This window comes from Homo sapiens, chromosome 9, assembly GCF_000001405.40.
Source record: "Homo sapiens chromosome 9, GRCh38.p14 Primary Assembly".
Lineage (NCBI taxonomy): Eukaryota > Metazoa > Chordata > Mammalia > Primates > Hominidae > Homo > Homo sapiens.
The window spans coordinates 61,173,699-61,189,916 of NC_000009.12; the positions used below are offsets into that span (position 1 = coordinate 61,173,699).

At 38.6% G+C, this 16,218-nt stretch overlaps 1 long non-coding RNA gene across 1 annotated transcript; it reads left to right on the top strand.

Annotated features, from left to right (window-relative positions):
* The first annotated feature begins 553 nt into the window (after positions 1-553).
* LOC105379249 (uncharacterized) lies at positions 554-1,967 on the top strand. The gene is made up of 2 exons (XR_948988.1): positions 554-593; positions 1,723-1,967. It is a non-coding gene; the product is annotated as an uncharacterized LOC105379249 (long non-coding RNA).
* The last annotated feature ends 14,251 nt before the right edge of the window (positions 1,968-16,218 follow it).

Below are 16,218 nucleotides of genomic sequence, written 5' to 3' on the forward strand. Positions count from 1 at the left end.
ATTGAGACTATCCTGGCTAACACGGTGAAATTCTGTCTCTACTAAAAAATACAAACAATTAGCTGGGCATGGTGGTGTGCACATGTAGTGCCAGCTATTCGGGAGGCTGAGGCAGGAGAATGGTGAGAACCTGGGAGGTGGAGCTTGCAGTCAGCCGAGATCACGCCACTGCACTCCAGCCTGGGCAATACAGTGAGACTCCGTCTCAAAATAAATAAATAAAATAAAATAAAAAATAAAATAAAAAAAAGATGCTCCAACCATGATTGGTGATGCCAATCATAGAAGAAAAGAGAATATTGAGAAATAATAAGACAGCTACTTTAAACCATTCTGTGCCTGAACATTTTGATGGCAATATTGGTCATATTATAAATTTGAAAATATAAATGGTAATCTAAATTGACTTTAGTCTACCAGTGATTATGAGAGCTTTATCTAAGTGAAACACTTACATTTTTATTTCTAACATTTTTCAGAAAATGTGAAACTCCAACCAAGTGCAGTGGCTCATGCCTGTAATCCCAGCTCGTTGGGAGGCCGAGGCAGGTGGATCACAAGGTCAAGAGATCGAGACCATCCTGTCCAATCTGGTGAAACCCCGTCTCTACTAAAAATACAAAAATTAGCTGGGCGTGGTGATGCGCACATGTAGTCCCAGCTACTCGGGAGGCTGAGGCAGGAGAATCGCTTGAACCCGGGAGGTGAAGGTTGCAGTGAGCCAAGATCGTGCCACTGCACTCCAGCCTGGGCAACAGAGCAAGACTCCATCTCAAAAAAAAAAAAAAAAAAAAGAAGAAAAAGAAAATGTGAAGCTCCTTATTATTTTGTTTTAATTTTAAGAATTCCACTTCCTAGATAAGCAGAACATAGAGCCAAGTGCTATGTTCTGGTTGTTTTTAATGAGTATATTTATGTTCTCCCCAATTTATTATTTATTAATGTCTAACTTCAATTAGATGAGTTGATTACTTTTCATACACCATTGACTAAAGGAAACCTAATTTTACACGTAATTCAAGGGGATCTGTAAGTAAGAACATTTTAAAATTAAACCAACACATGTGCATTGAAAATCATTCAAACAGTTTGATGGGCAAAAAACCAGTGAAAACCAGAAACTTTTTTTTTTCCTTCCATAGACCTTGGTCCTGTTTTTCAGAGTTAGGCAAGGTTTATCATTTTCTTTTTTTACTATATGCTATTCTCTTGAACTGTAAATAATATTATACAATCACCTAATTTTGTTTTAACAATTTTAAGTAATATCCCTTGACTTTTTATGAACGGTAGAGAATATAGCTCATTTACCCTACTTTCTTCTTCTAAAACTATATTTCCAATTTAGTCTTTAATATATAATTTTATGGGATTTTTTAAAAATTTGCTTTCTCTAAATAATATACTTACAGTGCTTAATTCTTTGCTTAAATAATATACTGTTTAGATAATATATGGTCCATCCAATTTGAACACCACTGATTGGCTCAGTAGGATGTGGAGATTAGTGTACAACTTCCCTCCCCTCCAACAGTCCCTGTCATAGCTTTCGACTTGTATCAAATTTCGTTCTATGCTTATATTTTCACATTTTATGTAAATTACATCCTATTTTGTAATTATAATAAAGTCTGTGCTTTGTTCGTAGGTTAATTTTGATCATGGAATCTCAAGTGAATTGACAGCATCATTATTATGTTTTCTTTTTTTTTCAAACCACAGTCGCAGGTGGCGTGATTTGATTTGTGTGAAGGCAATGAAATGATACACAGATACACCGAAGCCTCCCAAAAGAATCCTGGTTCCAAGACTCAAGAAGATGGATTAATGTTTTTCCATTAATTGTTGGAATTTATGCCATTTTTTACTATGTGCCATCAATTTTAAAGCACTTCTGAAAAGACATAACAATCTAAATGAGATGGCATTTTAAATTCATAAAAATATAGTATTTTCCTCAACTTTTATACATTTATGATGCATTATTTCTTATTTCCCGGGAATTTTACTACCTTTGTTTTGAATGATTAAAAAGGAAACACAGCACTTTTTTCAGCACATCACCAAGATAGCCTAGTTAATATTCTTCTCTTTCTGAAGTAGTTGAATTGGGATAGACAGCTTGCCAGGCCTGCTGCCACGTGTCAGCATCGCATCCCTACATTCAGCCACACTTGCATCTAACGACCATCTCTTTCATTAAATTTCTTTTGCACCTTTTCTTCCTGAATGAGTGCATGATACTTAATTTTCCTGTGCACTTGCATGTCTCAAGAAGGTTTTAATTCTTTTTGTATTGCATTAATATTAAGTTAAGTTTATAATTGCAAAATGATTTATACTCAGAACATTGAAGACTCCTTTGTTTTGTTACATCCTGTCAAAATGATGAGAAGACAGATCATCCTTTAGGGAAAAATTGGTTTTGATTGGTGTCAGCCTTTCCAACAGCAATGCTGGAGACAAGAATAAAATGAAGTAATATTTTTCAAGGATTAAAAGGAAACCAATTTTAATCCTTGAATTATTTGCAGCCACAATCTTTTAAATATGAAAGCCCAGAAAAAGACATTAAAAAGTAAGGCCTCAAAAGTTTTATTTCAAATAAATCCCTTTGAAAATGCTTAGAGGTCATACTCCACTAAGAAGAGAAATACACCGTGGTGTTAGAATTGAGGGTTCCAGAATCAATGGTAGTGGTGTTTATCATACTCTAAAAAATAAATGAAAACATAACATATTGAAAACAACCCCAAGTAAACTTCAGAAAGCACCCCCTTAGACAAAGTGCTGTCGTAACAGAGAAAGCAAACCAGAGGTGGCAAGAGGAGGCTAGAGCACTTATCTTGTTTGCTGAGATGATATTAATTTTGACACATATCAGAAATTGAGAAAATTAACATAAATAATGATATAACCACCATTACAATGTTAAAAATTTCCAGATTTCAAACAAATAGAAAAAGATTTGATCTATAGAGTGAAAGGTACAATAGGAAAAAATAAACAGTAAAGAAAGTATGAAAAATCATAAAATGAGATGACAGAAATAACTCATAATGGAACAATAATTACATAAATCAAAGGTTAAGATTGTGAGGTAAAATTTTTAAGTGTCAAAAAAACACTCAATAAAACCTATCGAAAATAAATTAGTGTAAAAAATATAGCAGGAAAATATGAATAAAAAGAGCTAGGTCCAATTTTTGATAAAAATTTGAATTCAAGTTAATAATATCCTAAAGAAGGAAAAAATCTGTAGACCAATAGAGAGAAAGGAAAGGCGCATTCAGACAAAGAAAATGTGTACAGAACACACTAGGGATATCAGAAGAGGCTGCTCATGGCCAGGCATGGTGGCTCATACCTGTAATCCCAGCACTATGGGAGGCCAAGGTGGGTGGATCACCTGAGCTCAGGAGTTCAGGACCAGCCTGGGCAGCAAGGGAAACCCCATCTCTACCAAAAATACAAAAAAATTCGCTAGCCATAGTGGCACATGCCTGTGGTTCCCGTTACATGGGAGGCTGAGGTGAGAGGATTGCTTGAGCCCGGGAGACGGAGGTTACAGAGAGCCCAGATTTTGCCACTGCACTCCAGCCTGGGAAAGAATGTGAGACCCAGTCTCAAAGCAAAACAAAACAAAATAAAAAAGAAGCTGCTCAAGACCAGACTGAGCTCCTAGACCTTGAACTCCAGTCCCACCTCACACCCTAAGGTTCCTAAAGAATCAGTAACTTAGTTCACCCTACCGCACTCCTGACTTCTGGATGTAGCACAAGTTTCTAAACTTATGCAAACAGTGAGGACTATCTATTTTGACAAAATAAGAAATGGAGTCAAGGCAACATGTAAAAGATATTTTTGCCAGTTTTATTGATTAACAAAGAAAAATTGTATATAGTTAAGGTATGCAGTGTGATATTTTGATATACATATACATTGTGAAGTGATGATTACCACAATCAAGCTAACATATTCATCACCTCACCTGGTTACCTTTTTATTTGTGTTTGTGTGGTGGAGAACACTTGAGATCTACTCTTTCAGCAAATTTCAAGTATACATTATTATTGACTTTAGTCACTATGCTGTACATTAGATGTGCAGAACTTATTCATCTTATAACTGAAAGTTTGTACTTTCTGACAAACATTTTTTCTTTTCCCCCAACTCCCAGGCCCTAGTAAGCACTATTTTACTCTGTTACCATGAGTTTGACATTTTCTTAGTATGCATATAAGTGAAATCATGCAGGATTTTTTTGCATCTGTTCCTGGCTTATTTTACTTACCATAATAAACTCCAGGTTTATCCATCTCGTTACAAATGGCAGTATTTCCTCATTTCTAAAGGCTAAATGATATTCCATTACATATGTGTGTGTGTCTGTGTGTGTGTGTGTGTGTAATACATTTAAAACATCCATTCATCTGTCAATGGACACAGGTAGTTTCCATACCTTGGCTGTGTAAATAACACTGTAATAAACATGTAAGTATATATATCTCTCTGAGATAGTGATTTTCTTTACTTTGGATATATACCCAGATGTGAGATTGCTGGATTATATGGGAGTTCCATTTTTAATTTTTTGAGGAAACTCCATACTGTTGTCTGTAATGGCTGTACCAATTTACATTCCCATCAACTATCAACTAAGCACAAGGGTTTCTGTTTCTCAATATCCTCAGCAACATTTGTTACCTTTTTACTGTTATAAAAGCCATCCTAATAGATGTGAGGTGATATCTCATTGTGCATTTTCCTGATGATTAGTGATGGCAAACATCTTTTTCTTAATATATACCTATTGTCAATCGTATGTCCTTTAGAAATGTATCTCTTCAGGTCTGATATGCTTTGGCTGCGTCCCCACCCAAATCGCATGTTGAATTGTAGCTCCCATAATTCCCATGTGTTATGGGAGGGACCCAGTAGGAGATAGTTGAATCATGGGAGCGGTTTTCCCCATACTGTTTTTGTGGTAGTAAATAAGCCTCACAAGATCCGATTGTTTTATAAGGGATTTCCTTTTTCACTTGGCTTTCATTCTGTCTTGCCTGCTGCTGTGTAATATGTGCCTTTAGCCTCCCACCATAAGTAAGGCCTCCCCAGCCTCATGGAGCTGTGAGTCCATTAAACCTCTTTTTCTTTATAAATCACACAGTCTTTGGTATGCCTTTATCAGCAGCATGCAAACAGATGAATACAGTAAATTGGTACTGGTAGAGTGGGGTGCTGCTGTAAAGTTATCCAAAAATGTGGAACCAACTTCGGAACTGGGTAACAGGCAGGGGTTGGAACAGTTTGGAGGGCTCAGAAAAAGACAGAAAAATGTGAAAAAGTTTGGAACTCCCTAGAGATTTGTTGACTAGCTTTGACCAAAATGCTAATAATGATATGGACAATGAAATTCAGGCTGAGGTTGTCTCAGATAGTGATGAGGAACTTGTTGGGAACTGGAGTCAAGGAAAATCTTGCTATGCTTTAGCAAAGAGACTGGCAGCATTTTGCCCCTGCCCTGGAGATGTGTGGAACTTTGAACTTGAGGGAGATGATTTAGGGTAGCTGGCAGAATAAGTTTCTAAGCAGCAAAGCACTCAAGAGGTGACTTGGGTGCTGTTAAAAGCATTCAGTTTTAAAAGGAAACAGCATAAAACTTTGGAAAATTTGCAGCCAAACGATGTGATAGAAAAGAAAAACCAATTTTCTGAGGAGAAATTCAAGCCAGCTGCAGAAATTTGCATAAGCAACAAGGACCCAAATGTTCATCACCAAGACAATGGGGAAAATATCTCCAGGACATGTCAGAGACCTTTGCAGCAGTCCCTCCCATTACAGGCCAAGAGGCCTAAAAGGAAAAAATGGTTTCCTGGGCTGGATTCAGGGGCCCCCTGCTGTTTGCCACCTAGTGACTTGATGCCCTGCATCCCAGCTACTCTAGCCATGGCTAAAAGGGTCCAAGGTACAGCTTGGACTGTGGATTCAGGTGGTGCAAGCCCCAAACCTTGGCAGTTTCACATGGTGTTGCGCCTGTGGGTGCACAGAAGTCAAGAATTGAGGTTTGGGAATCTCTGCCTAGATTTCAGAGGATGTATGGAAACTCCTAGATGTCCAGAAAGAATTTTGCTGCAAGGGTGGTGCCCTAATGGAAAACCTCTGCTAGGACAGTGCAGAAGGGAAATATGGGGTTGAAGCCCCCACACAGAGTCCCCACTGAGGTACTGCCTACTGGAGCTGTGAGAAGAAGACCACTGTCCTCCGGACCCCAGAATGGTACAGCCACCAAAAGCTTGATCATGCACACAGGAAGGCTACAGACAATGCCAGTCCATGAAAGCAACCAAGAGGGGGGCTATTTCCTGCAAAGCCACAGGGGTGGAGCTGCCCAAGGCCATGGGAGCCCACCTCTTGCATAAGTGTGACCTGGATGTGAGACATGGAGTCAAAGGAGTTCACTTTGGAGCTTTAAGATTTGACAGGCCTGCTGGATTTTGGACTTGGGGCCTGTAGCCTCTTTGTTTTGGCCAAATTCACCCATTTGGAACAGGTATGTTTACCTGCTCCCTGTACCTCCATTGTATTTGGAAAGTAACTAACTTGCTTTTAACTTTATGAGTTCATAGCTCGAAGGGACTTGCCTTGTCTCAGATAAGACTTTGGACTGTGGACTTTTGAGTTAATATTGAAATTAGTTAAGATGTTGAGGGACTGTTGGGAAGGCATAATTTGTTTTCAAATGTGAAGATATGAAATTTGGGAGGAGCTGGGGCAGAATGATATGATTCAGCTGTGTCCCTACTCCAATCTCCTCTTGAATTGTAGTTCCCATAATTCCCACATGTTGTGGGAGGGACCTGGTGGAAGACAATTGAATCATGGGGGCAGTTTCTCCCATACTGTTCCCATGGTAGTAAATAAGTCTCATGAGATCTGATTGCTTTATAACGGGTTTCCCCTTTTGCTTGGCTTTCATCCTGTCTTGCTGGCTGTCATGTAAGACATGCCTTTCACCTTCCACTGTGATTGTGAGGCCTCCCCAGCTACGTGGAACTGTGAATCCATTAAACCTCTTTTTTTTGGAGATGGAGTCTGGCTCTGTCACCCAGGCTGGAGTGCAGTGGTGTGATCTCTGCTCATTGCAAGCTCCACCTCCAAGGTTCACGCCATTCTTCTGCCTCAGCCTCCCAAGTCACTGGGACTACAGGCACCCACCACCACACCTGGCTAATTTTTTGTATTTTTAATAGAGACAGGATTTCACCATGTTAGCCAGGATGATCTCAATCTCCTGACCTCATGATCTGCCTGCCTCGGCCTCCCAAAGTGCTGGGATTACAGGCGTGAGCCACCGTGTCTGGCCAAACCTTTTTCTTTATAAATTACCCAGTCTCTGGTATGTCTTTATCAGCATCATGAAAACAGACCAATACAAGATCCTTTGGAATGGTCTGAGTTCCTAATTTATTTGGATATTAACTTCTTATCAGATGTATAGTGTGTAAATATTTTCTCCCATTCTTTAGGTTATCTTTTCATTGTATTGGTTGTCTCCTTTGCTGCGCTGAAGCTTTTAGTTTGATTTACTCCCATTTGTCTAGTTTTGCTTTTGTTGTCTATACTTTTGGTATCAAATCTGAAAATGTATTACCAATACCAGTATCAAGGAGCTTTTCTCCGATATTTATATCTAAGAGTCTTACAATATTGGTCCTTTGTTGAGGTCTTTCATCCATTTTGAGACAATTTTTGTATGTACAGTGAGATAAGGGTTCAGTTTCATTCTTCTGCATGTGGATATCCAGTTTTCCCAACACCATTTAATAAAGAGACTAAATTTTATCATTGTGTACTCTTGGCACCAATGCTAGAGATCAATTGATTGTAAAGTCATGGATTTATTTCTTTCTATGCTCTCTATTCTGTTCCCTTGGCCTACATGTCTGTTTTTATGCTAGTAGCATACTATTTTGATTACTACAGCTTTATAATTTAGTTTGGAATAAGGTAATGTGATGCTTCCACTTTTGTTTTTTCTGCTGAAGGATGTTTTGACTGTTTGGGGTCATTTGAGGTTGCATAAAAATTTTAGAACTGCTTTTTTCCATTTCTTTGAAAAATGCCATTGAAATTTTGATGGGGTTGCTTTATATCTATAGATCGCGCTGAGTAATAGGGATATGTATCTTCTTCAAATTCTTTCATCAGTGTTTTATAGTTTTTGGTATATACAAATTTTACTGTCTTATTTAAATTTCTTCCTAAGTAGTTAATTTTTTGATGCTATTGTAAATGAGATTGTGTTCTTTCAGATGGACTCTCACTCTGTCGCCCAGGCTGGAGTGCAGTGGTGTGATCTTGGCTCACTGCAAGCTCTGACTCCCGGGTTCACACCAATCTCCTGCCTCAGCCTCCTGCCACCACGCCCAGCTAATTTTTTGTATTTTTAGTAGAGACAGGGTTTCTCCATGTTAGCCAAGATGGTCTCGATCTCTTGACCTTGTGATCTGCCCACCTCAGACTCCCAAAGTGCTGGGATTACAGGCGTGAGCCACTGTGCCCGGCCCGAGATTGTTTTGTTAATTTCTTTCTGGGATACTCAACTATTAGTATATAAAAACGTAACAGGTTTTTTTTAATGTTAATTATGTGTTCTGCAAATTTGCTTGTTTCTTAATTTTAACAGTTTTTAATTGGAGCCTTTAGAATTTTCTCTATATGAGATCATGTCATCTTCAAATAGAGACACTTTCACTTCTTTTCCAGTTTGGATGCCTTTTATTTCTTTTTCTTACCTAATTGCTCTGGCTAGGACTTACAGACTTTTTCAGAAACCCCCCAAAATAATCTAAGGGAGTCCATTGTCACTAGACCTGCTTTATAAGAAATTCTAAAGGGAGTTCTTCAAACTGAAATGCAATAAGACTAATTAGCATCACGAAAACATATGTAGTTATAAAAAGTCACCAGTAAAAGTAACTATACAGTCAAATTCAAAATATTCCTAATACTGTAATGATGGAGTATAATCACTTTAACTTTTAAAAGGTTAAAAGACAAAAAAATATTACAAATAAATATAACTACAAAATAAACAAAGAAATAAAAGCTGACATCAAAAAAACATAAAAAGTGGAGGGGAGTAAAGTGTAGGGTTTTGTATATGCTTGAAGTTAAGTTGTTATCAACTTAAAATAGACCATTATAACTATAATCATACATTTCTTAATGTGGATATGTTCTGAATAATGCCTCATTATGCAATTTTGTCATGGTGTGAATATCATAGAGTATACTTACACGAAATTAGATAATACCACCTACTACACACCCAGGCTATATGGTATAACCTATTGCTTCCAGGCTACAAATCTGTACAGCATTGTACTATACTGAATGCTATAGGCAATTATAATACAATGATAAGCATTTGTGTATCCAAATGTATCTAAACATATAAAAGATACAATAAAAATGTTATAACCTTACAGGGCCACCGTTGTATATGTGGCCCATCATTGACCAAAACATCCTTATGTGGCACATGAGAGCATATGAAGTTTTATGGAAGCCTCAGGATAATCACAAAGACAAAACATGTAATAGTTACACAAATGAAAATTTTACCACGTTTAAAAAAGAATTAATACAAAGACACAGAAAAGAATCAAAGTATACCACTACAGAAAATAATCAAAATAATCAAATCATGCACAGCAAGAGAGAAATAAAAGAACAAAGAAACTGCAAAATGCCTATCAATAGTTACTTTAAATATCAGTGGACCAAATTAGAAAAGACACAGAGTGGCTGAATGGACAGTAAAACAATAACCAAATATATGCCGCCTATAAGAGATTCACTTCACCTTTAGAGACACACATAGACTGAAAGGAAAGACAGGGAACAAAAAAAAGAAAGAGTAGCTATTCTTACAACAAACAAAATAGACTTTAAGTCAAAAACTGTAACAAGAGGGAAAGAAAGTCATTATAGAATGATACAAGGGTCAATTCATCAAGAGGATATAATTACTACAAATATATATTCTCCCAACATTGGAACACCTAATTGTATAAAGCAAATATTAACAAATCTGAAGAGAGAAGTGACAACAATAATACAATAACAGTTGGGGACTTCCATATCCCACTTTCAACAATGGATTGATCACTCAGACAGATAATCAATAAGGAAACAGATGACTTGAACTACACTATAGATCAAATGGACCAGACATATACGGGACATTACTTTCCAAAACAGCAAAATACACATTCTTCTTGAGCATACACAGTACATTCTCCTACACAGGTCATATATTGGGCCAGAAAACAAGTCTTAGCAAATTTAAGAAGATTGAAATCTTATCAAGTATTCTTTTTGACCACAGTGGCATGAAACTGAAAATTAAAAACAGGAGAAAACTTAGAAAAGTGACAAATATGTGGAAATCAACCAACACACTCCTGAGCAACCAATAGATCAAAGAAAACATCAAAAAAGAAATAAAATATCTTGAGACAAACTAAAATGAAAGCACAACATACTAAAACTTATGAGATGAAGCAAAAGCAATTCTAACAGGGAAGTTTATACAGGTTAAGTGCTAAATGAAGAAAAAAGATCTCAAATAAACAATAAACCTCAAAGAAATAGAAAAGAAAAAAAATGAAGCCCAAAATTAGAAGAAGGAAGGAAATAACAAAGATGATAGCAGAAGTAAATGAAATACACTAGAAAAACAATAGAAAAGATCAATGAAACAAAAAGCTGATTTTTTGAAAACATAATGGCTGGGCGCGGTGGCTCATGCCTGTAATCCCAGCACTTTGGGAGGCGGGCAGATCACGAGGTCAGAGATCAAGACCATCCTGGCTAACATGGTGAAACCCCGCCTCTACTAAATATACAAAAAATTAGCAGAGCCGGGCAGCGTGCGCCTGTAGTCCCAGCTACTTGGGAGGCTGAGGCAGGGGAATGGCATGAACCCAGGAGGCAGAGCTTGCAGTGAGCGGAGATTGCGCCACTGCACTACAGCCTGGGAGACAGAGCCAGACTGAGTCTCAAAAAAATAAAATAAAATAAAATAAAAATAATAAAAATTGAGCAACCTTTCACTAGGCTAAGAAAAAAGAGAGAAGCCTCAAATAAATAAAATTAGAACAAAAAAGCAGATATTAAAATTGGTACCATAGAAATACAAAGGATAATAACAGTCTAAACAACTATGTGTCAACAAATTGTTTAACTTAGAAGAAATAGAGAAATTTCTAGAAACATACATCCCCTAAGATTGAAACATGAAGAAATAGAAAATCAACACAAATAATGAGTAAAAATATTGAGTCAGTGGTCAAAAAGCTCCTGAAAAAGGAAAATCCAAGACCAGATAGCTTAGTGGAGAAGTCTAGCAAATGTTTAAAGAAGAATTAGTACCATTTCTTCACAAACTCTTCCAAAAGTTGAAGAGGAGGGAATACAAACATTTTTTATGAGGCCAGCATTACCCTGATAACAAAGACAGAAAAGATACTACAAGGTTGACAGATATTTTTAAGGTGCAAATGATGTATTGTTGGAATTGAAAATACAGGATTTGTTTGTACAAAGATTTGTGTGTGGATAGGTGGATGCGTACTGGTGTGTGCATGCATACATATACAAGCTTACCTTGTTTTATTGCACTTCACTTTATTATGCTTCTTGGATATTGCATTTTTTACAGGTTGAAGGTTTATGGCAACCCTGCATCAAGCAAGTCTACCAGTGCCACTTTTCTGGTAGCATGTGCTTATTTTGTATCTCTGTGTTACATTTTTGTAATTCTTGCAATATTTCAAATGTTTTGTTATTATTATATCTGTTACGGTAATGTGTGATCAGTGATCATTGATATTACTATTGTCATTGTTTTGGGGCATCACAAACCATGCTCCAAAAGACAATGAGCCTAATTGATACATATGTGTGTCTGAATGGTTCCATCGATCTGCCCTTCCTCCATCCCCCCAACTCCTCAGGTCTCCCTGTTTTCTGAGACACAGGAATATTGAAATTAGGCCAATTAATAACTCTACAAAGGCCTCTATGTGTTCAAGTGAAAGTAAGAGTCACACATCTCTTATTTAAATCAAAAGTGAGAAATGATTAAGGTGAGTGAGGAAGGCATGTTAAAAGCTGAAACAGGCCAAAAACTAGGCATCCTGCACCTAACAGCCAAACTGTGCATGAAAAGAAAAAGTTCTTGAAGGAAATTAAAAGTATTACTCCAATGAACACATGAGTGGTATGAAAGTGAAAGAGACTTATCGCTGATATGGAGAAGGTTTGAGTGGTTTGGATAGAAGATCAAACCAACCACAACATTTCCTTAAGCCAAACCCTAATCGAGAGCAAGGACCTAATTCTTCTTAATTCTCTGAAGGCTGAGAGAGGTTGGGAAGCCACAGAAAAAAAGTTTGAAGCTAGCAGAGATTGGTTCATGAGGTTTAAGGAAAGAAGTCTTCTCCATAAGATAAAAGTGCAAGGAAAAGCAGCAAGTGCTGATGTAGAAGCTGCAGCAAGTCATCCATAAGATCAGCTAAGAGAAGCAACAAAGGTGGCTACACTAAACAAAGCTTTTTATTGCAGATAAAACAGCCTTATATTGGAAGAGGATGTCATCCAGGACTTTTACAGCCAGGTAGCAAAATAAATGCCTGACTTCAATGCTTCAAAGAACAGGATGACTCTTTTGTTAGGGGCTTAAGCTGAAGCCAAAGCTCATCTACCATTCTGAAAATTCTAGGGCCCTTAAGAACTATGCTACATCTACTCTGCCTGTGCTCTATAAATGGGACAAAGCCTGAATGACATCACATCTGTTACGACATGAATATTTTAAGCTCACACCTGAGAACTACTGCTTTAAAAAAAGATCTCTTTCAAAATATTATTGTTCATTGACAATTTACCTGGTCACCCAAGAGCTCTGATGGAGAACTACAAGAAAATTAAAGCTGTTTGCATGCCTGCTAATACAACATCCATTCTGCAGCCCAGGGATCAATGAGTAATTTAGACTTTCAAGGCTGATTATCTGAGAAATACATTTCATAAGGCTGTAGCCACCATGTATAGTAGTTCCTTCGATAGATCTGGGCAAAGTAAGTTGAAAACCTTCTAGAAAGGTTTCACCATTCTAGAAGCATTTGCAATTCATGGGAGGAGGTTAAAATTAAGAACATTTGTGATTCATGGGAGGAGGTTAAAATATCAATATTAAAAGAAATTTGGAAGAAGTTGATTCCAATCCTCATGGATGACTTTGAGGGTTCAAGACTTCAGTGCAAGAAGTAACTGCAGACGTGGTGGAAATGGCAAGAGAACTAAGATTAAAAGATGTGAAGAGAACTTAAGATGTGGCTGAATTGCTGAAATCTCATGACAAAATTTTAACAAATGAGAACTTGGATGAGCAAAGAAAGTGGTTTCTTGAGATGGAAACTACTCCAGGTGTAGATGCTGTGAACCTTGTTGAAATGACAACAGAGTATTTAGAAAATTGCATAAACTTAGTGGATAAAGCAGTGGCAGGGTTTGAGAGGATTGTCTCCGATTTGAAGGAAGCTCTACTGTGGGTAAAATGCTGTCAAACAGCATTGCATGCTACAGAGGAATCTTGAAAGAAATAGTCAACTGATGTAGCAAACTTCATTGTTGTCTTATTTTAAGAAATTGCCACAGCCACCTCACCTCCAGCAGCTTCCACCATGATGAGTCAGCAGCCACAACACTGAGGCAAGGCCACTGACCAGCAAAAAGATCATGATGTTGAAGACTCAGGTGATCGATAGCATTTTTAAACAGTAAAATAATTTTTGACTAAGGTATGTACATTGACTTTTTTATACATAATGGTATTGCCCACTTAATAGACTACAGTATAGTATAGACCTAACTTTTATATGCACTGAGAAACCAAAAATTCTGTGTGATTTGCCTTATTGCCATATTTGTTTTATTGCAGAACTGGCCACCAGAATCTTCCCTTCCCCTAGAACGCCCTTCACCCAAGCCACCTGCATTTTCCCCTCACCCATCATACCCACCCCCATTGTCTGGCCTGCCCTCCACCTCCTCCAAAAGCCTTCATTGCTCCCCCACTGCTGGACTGCATTCTGACTCCGTCTCAATGTGACTCAATGGCACTTCCATTGGGCACTGCCCTAAAGAGCTCATCTCCACAGTGGCCTGAAACCAAACCCACAGTATCTCTGAGGTATGCCTATGTAGCAGTCCCATAAGTTATCGTGCACTTTAAGCATTACCAAGTCCAGAACTGTAAATGCTACACATTTACAGAAATACCACTTGAAGGTTTAACTACTTATAACTGTTTCATAATTAGAATTACAAATTTTGAATATTAATTATTTTAATTGGGGGGAGGGGCCAAGATGGTTGAGTAGAAACAGCTCTACTCTACAGCCCCCACTGAGACAAACATAAACAGCGAGTGAATTCTGCATTTCTAACTGAGGTATCCAGATTCCCTCATTGGGACTGACTAGGCAGTTGGTGTGACCCATGGAGAGCAAGGAAAAGCAGAGTTGGGCGACAGTTCACCCAAGAGCTACACAGGGCAAAGAGACCTCCCTCCTCCAGCCAAGGGAGGCAGTGAGGGATTGTGCTACCCACCCGGAGAACTGTGCTTTACCCACAGATTTTTGCAAACCCCAGAACAGGTAATCCCTTTGTGAGTCCACACCACCAGGGCCTTGGGTCCCAAGCACAAAGCTGTGCAGACCCATAGCAGGGGCTCCAGCTGGCAGCCACTTGGGCAGGTACTGAGCTGTAGGAGTTTCTGCGTACTCTGGTGGCTCGCAGAAATCCAGTGAAGCAGGAGATCCATCAACTCCCATGAGAAGAGGGCTGAAGCCAGGGAGCCAAGCAGACCCACTCCCACAGAACCCCACAAGCTAAGACCCACTGGCATGGAATCCCCACTGGCTAGCACAGCACCTGGAGTCTGCCTAAGAAGACCAAGTTCCTGGGGGGAAGGGTGACCGCCATTACTGCGGGTCTAGCCGGTGGTTTTCCCCCACCAGTGCTAGGGAGACTGGGTGGTTTGCGCTGGGCAGAATTCCCCACAGTGCAGTACAGAGGCTGTGGCAGATATACCATTATTGCATATCCAAAGGAATATAAATCATTCTATTACAAAGATACATGCACGTGTATGTTTATTGCAGCACTGTTCCCAATAGCAAAGACATGGAATCAACCCAATGCCCACCAATGATAGACTGGATAAATAAAATGTGGTACATATACACCATGGAATACTATGCAGCCATAAAAAGGAATGAGATCAAGTCCTTTGCGGGGACATGGATGAAGCTGGAAGCCATTATCCTCAGCAAACTAACACAGGAACAGAAAACCAAATACCACATGTTCTCACTTACAAGTGGGAGCCGAACAATGAGAACATATGGACACTGGGAGGGAAACAACACACCCTGGCACCTGTCGAGGGAGGGCCGGTGGTAGGGAGAGCATCAGGAAAAATAGCTAATGCATGCTGGGTTTAATACCTAAGTGATGGGTTGATAGGTGCAGCAAATCACCATGGTACATATTTGCCTATGTAAGAAAACTGCATGTCCTGCACATGTATCCCGAAAGTTAAAATAAAATAAATACATAAGTACACAAATAAAATTTTAAAAGACAAAAAAAAAAATCTTAATTGTATGTGGGTAGTTCCCTTTGATTGAAAGTGAGATAGAAATAATTTTTTAAAACTTACTATTCAAAATTTGCAAAACTAAATAAGAGTAAAAGAAATTTACATTTTGTCCCTGGATTGATACAAGACAAAAACATAGTGTGGAAAAGCTGGAGTTGAGGATGAACGAGATTCTGAGAATAAAAATCCCTGGTACATAGCCAAAATTTCAGAACTTCAGATTTTCAAGGGCTATAAAATAGGTAACCTCAAGCCACCGTCTCCAACAGATAAAAGGAACCAGGTAATATCTATATTCCAGGGAGAAAGAATAGAAAATTGGCTATCACTGACAAAACTTAGTGGGAAGGAGGGATCTAGAAGGTGGGATGGTGGAGGGATCCCCAGCTTGGGGGGTGGGGAGGGGCTGTGCTTCAGTCTCCCCCTCCCCTGCCCCTCTCCCTCCCTCTCCCCCTCCTGCTGCACCTCCCCCTCCCTCT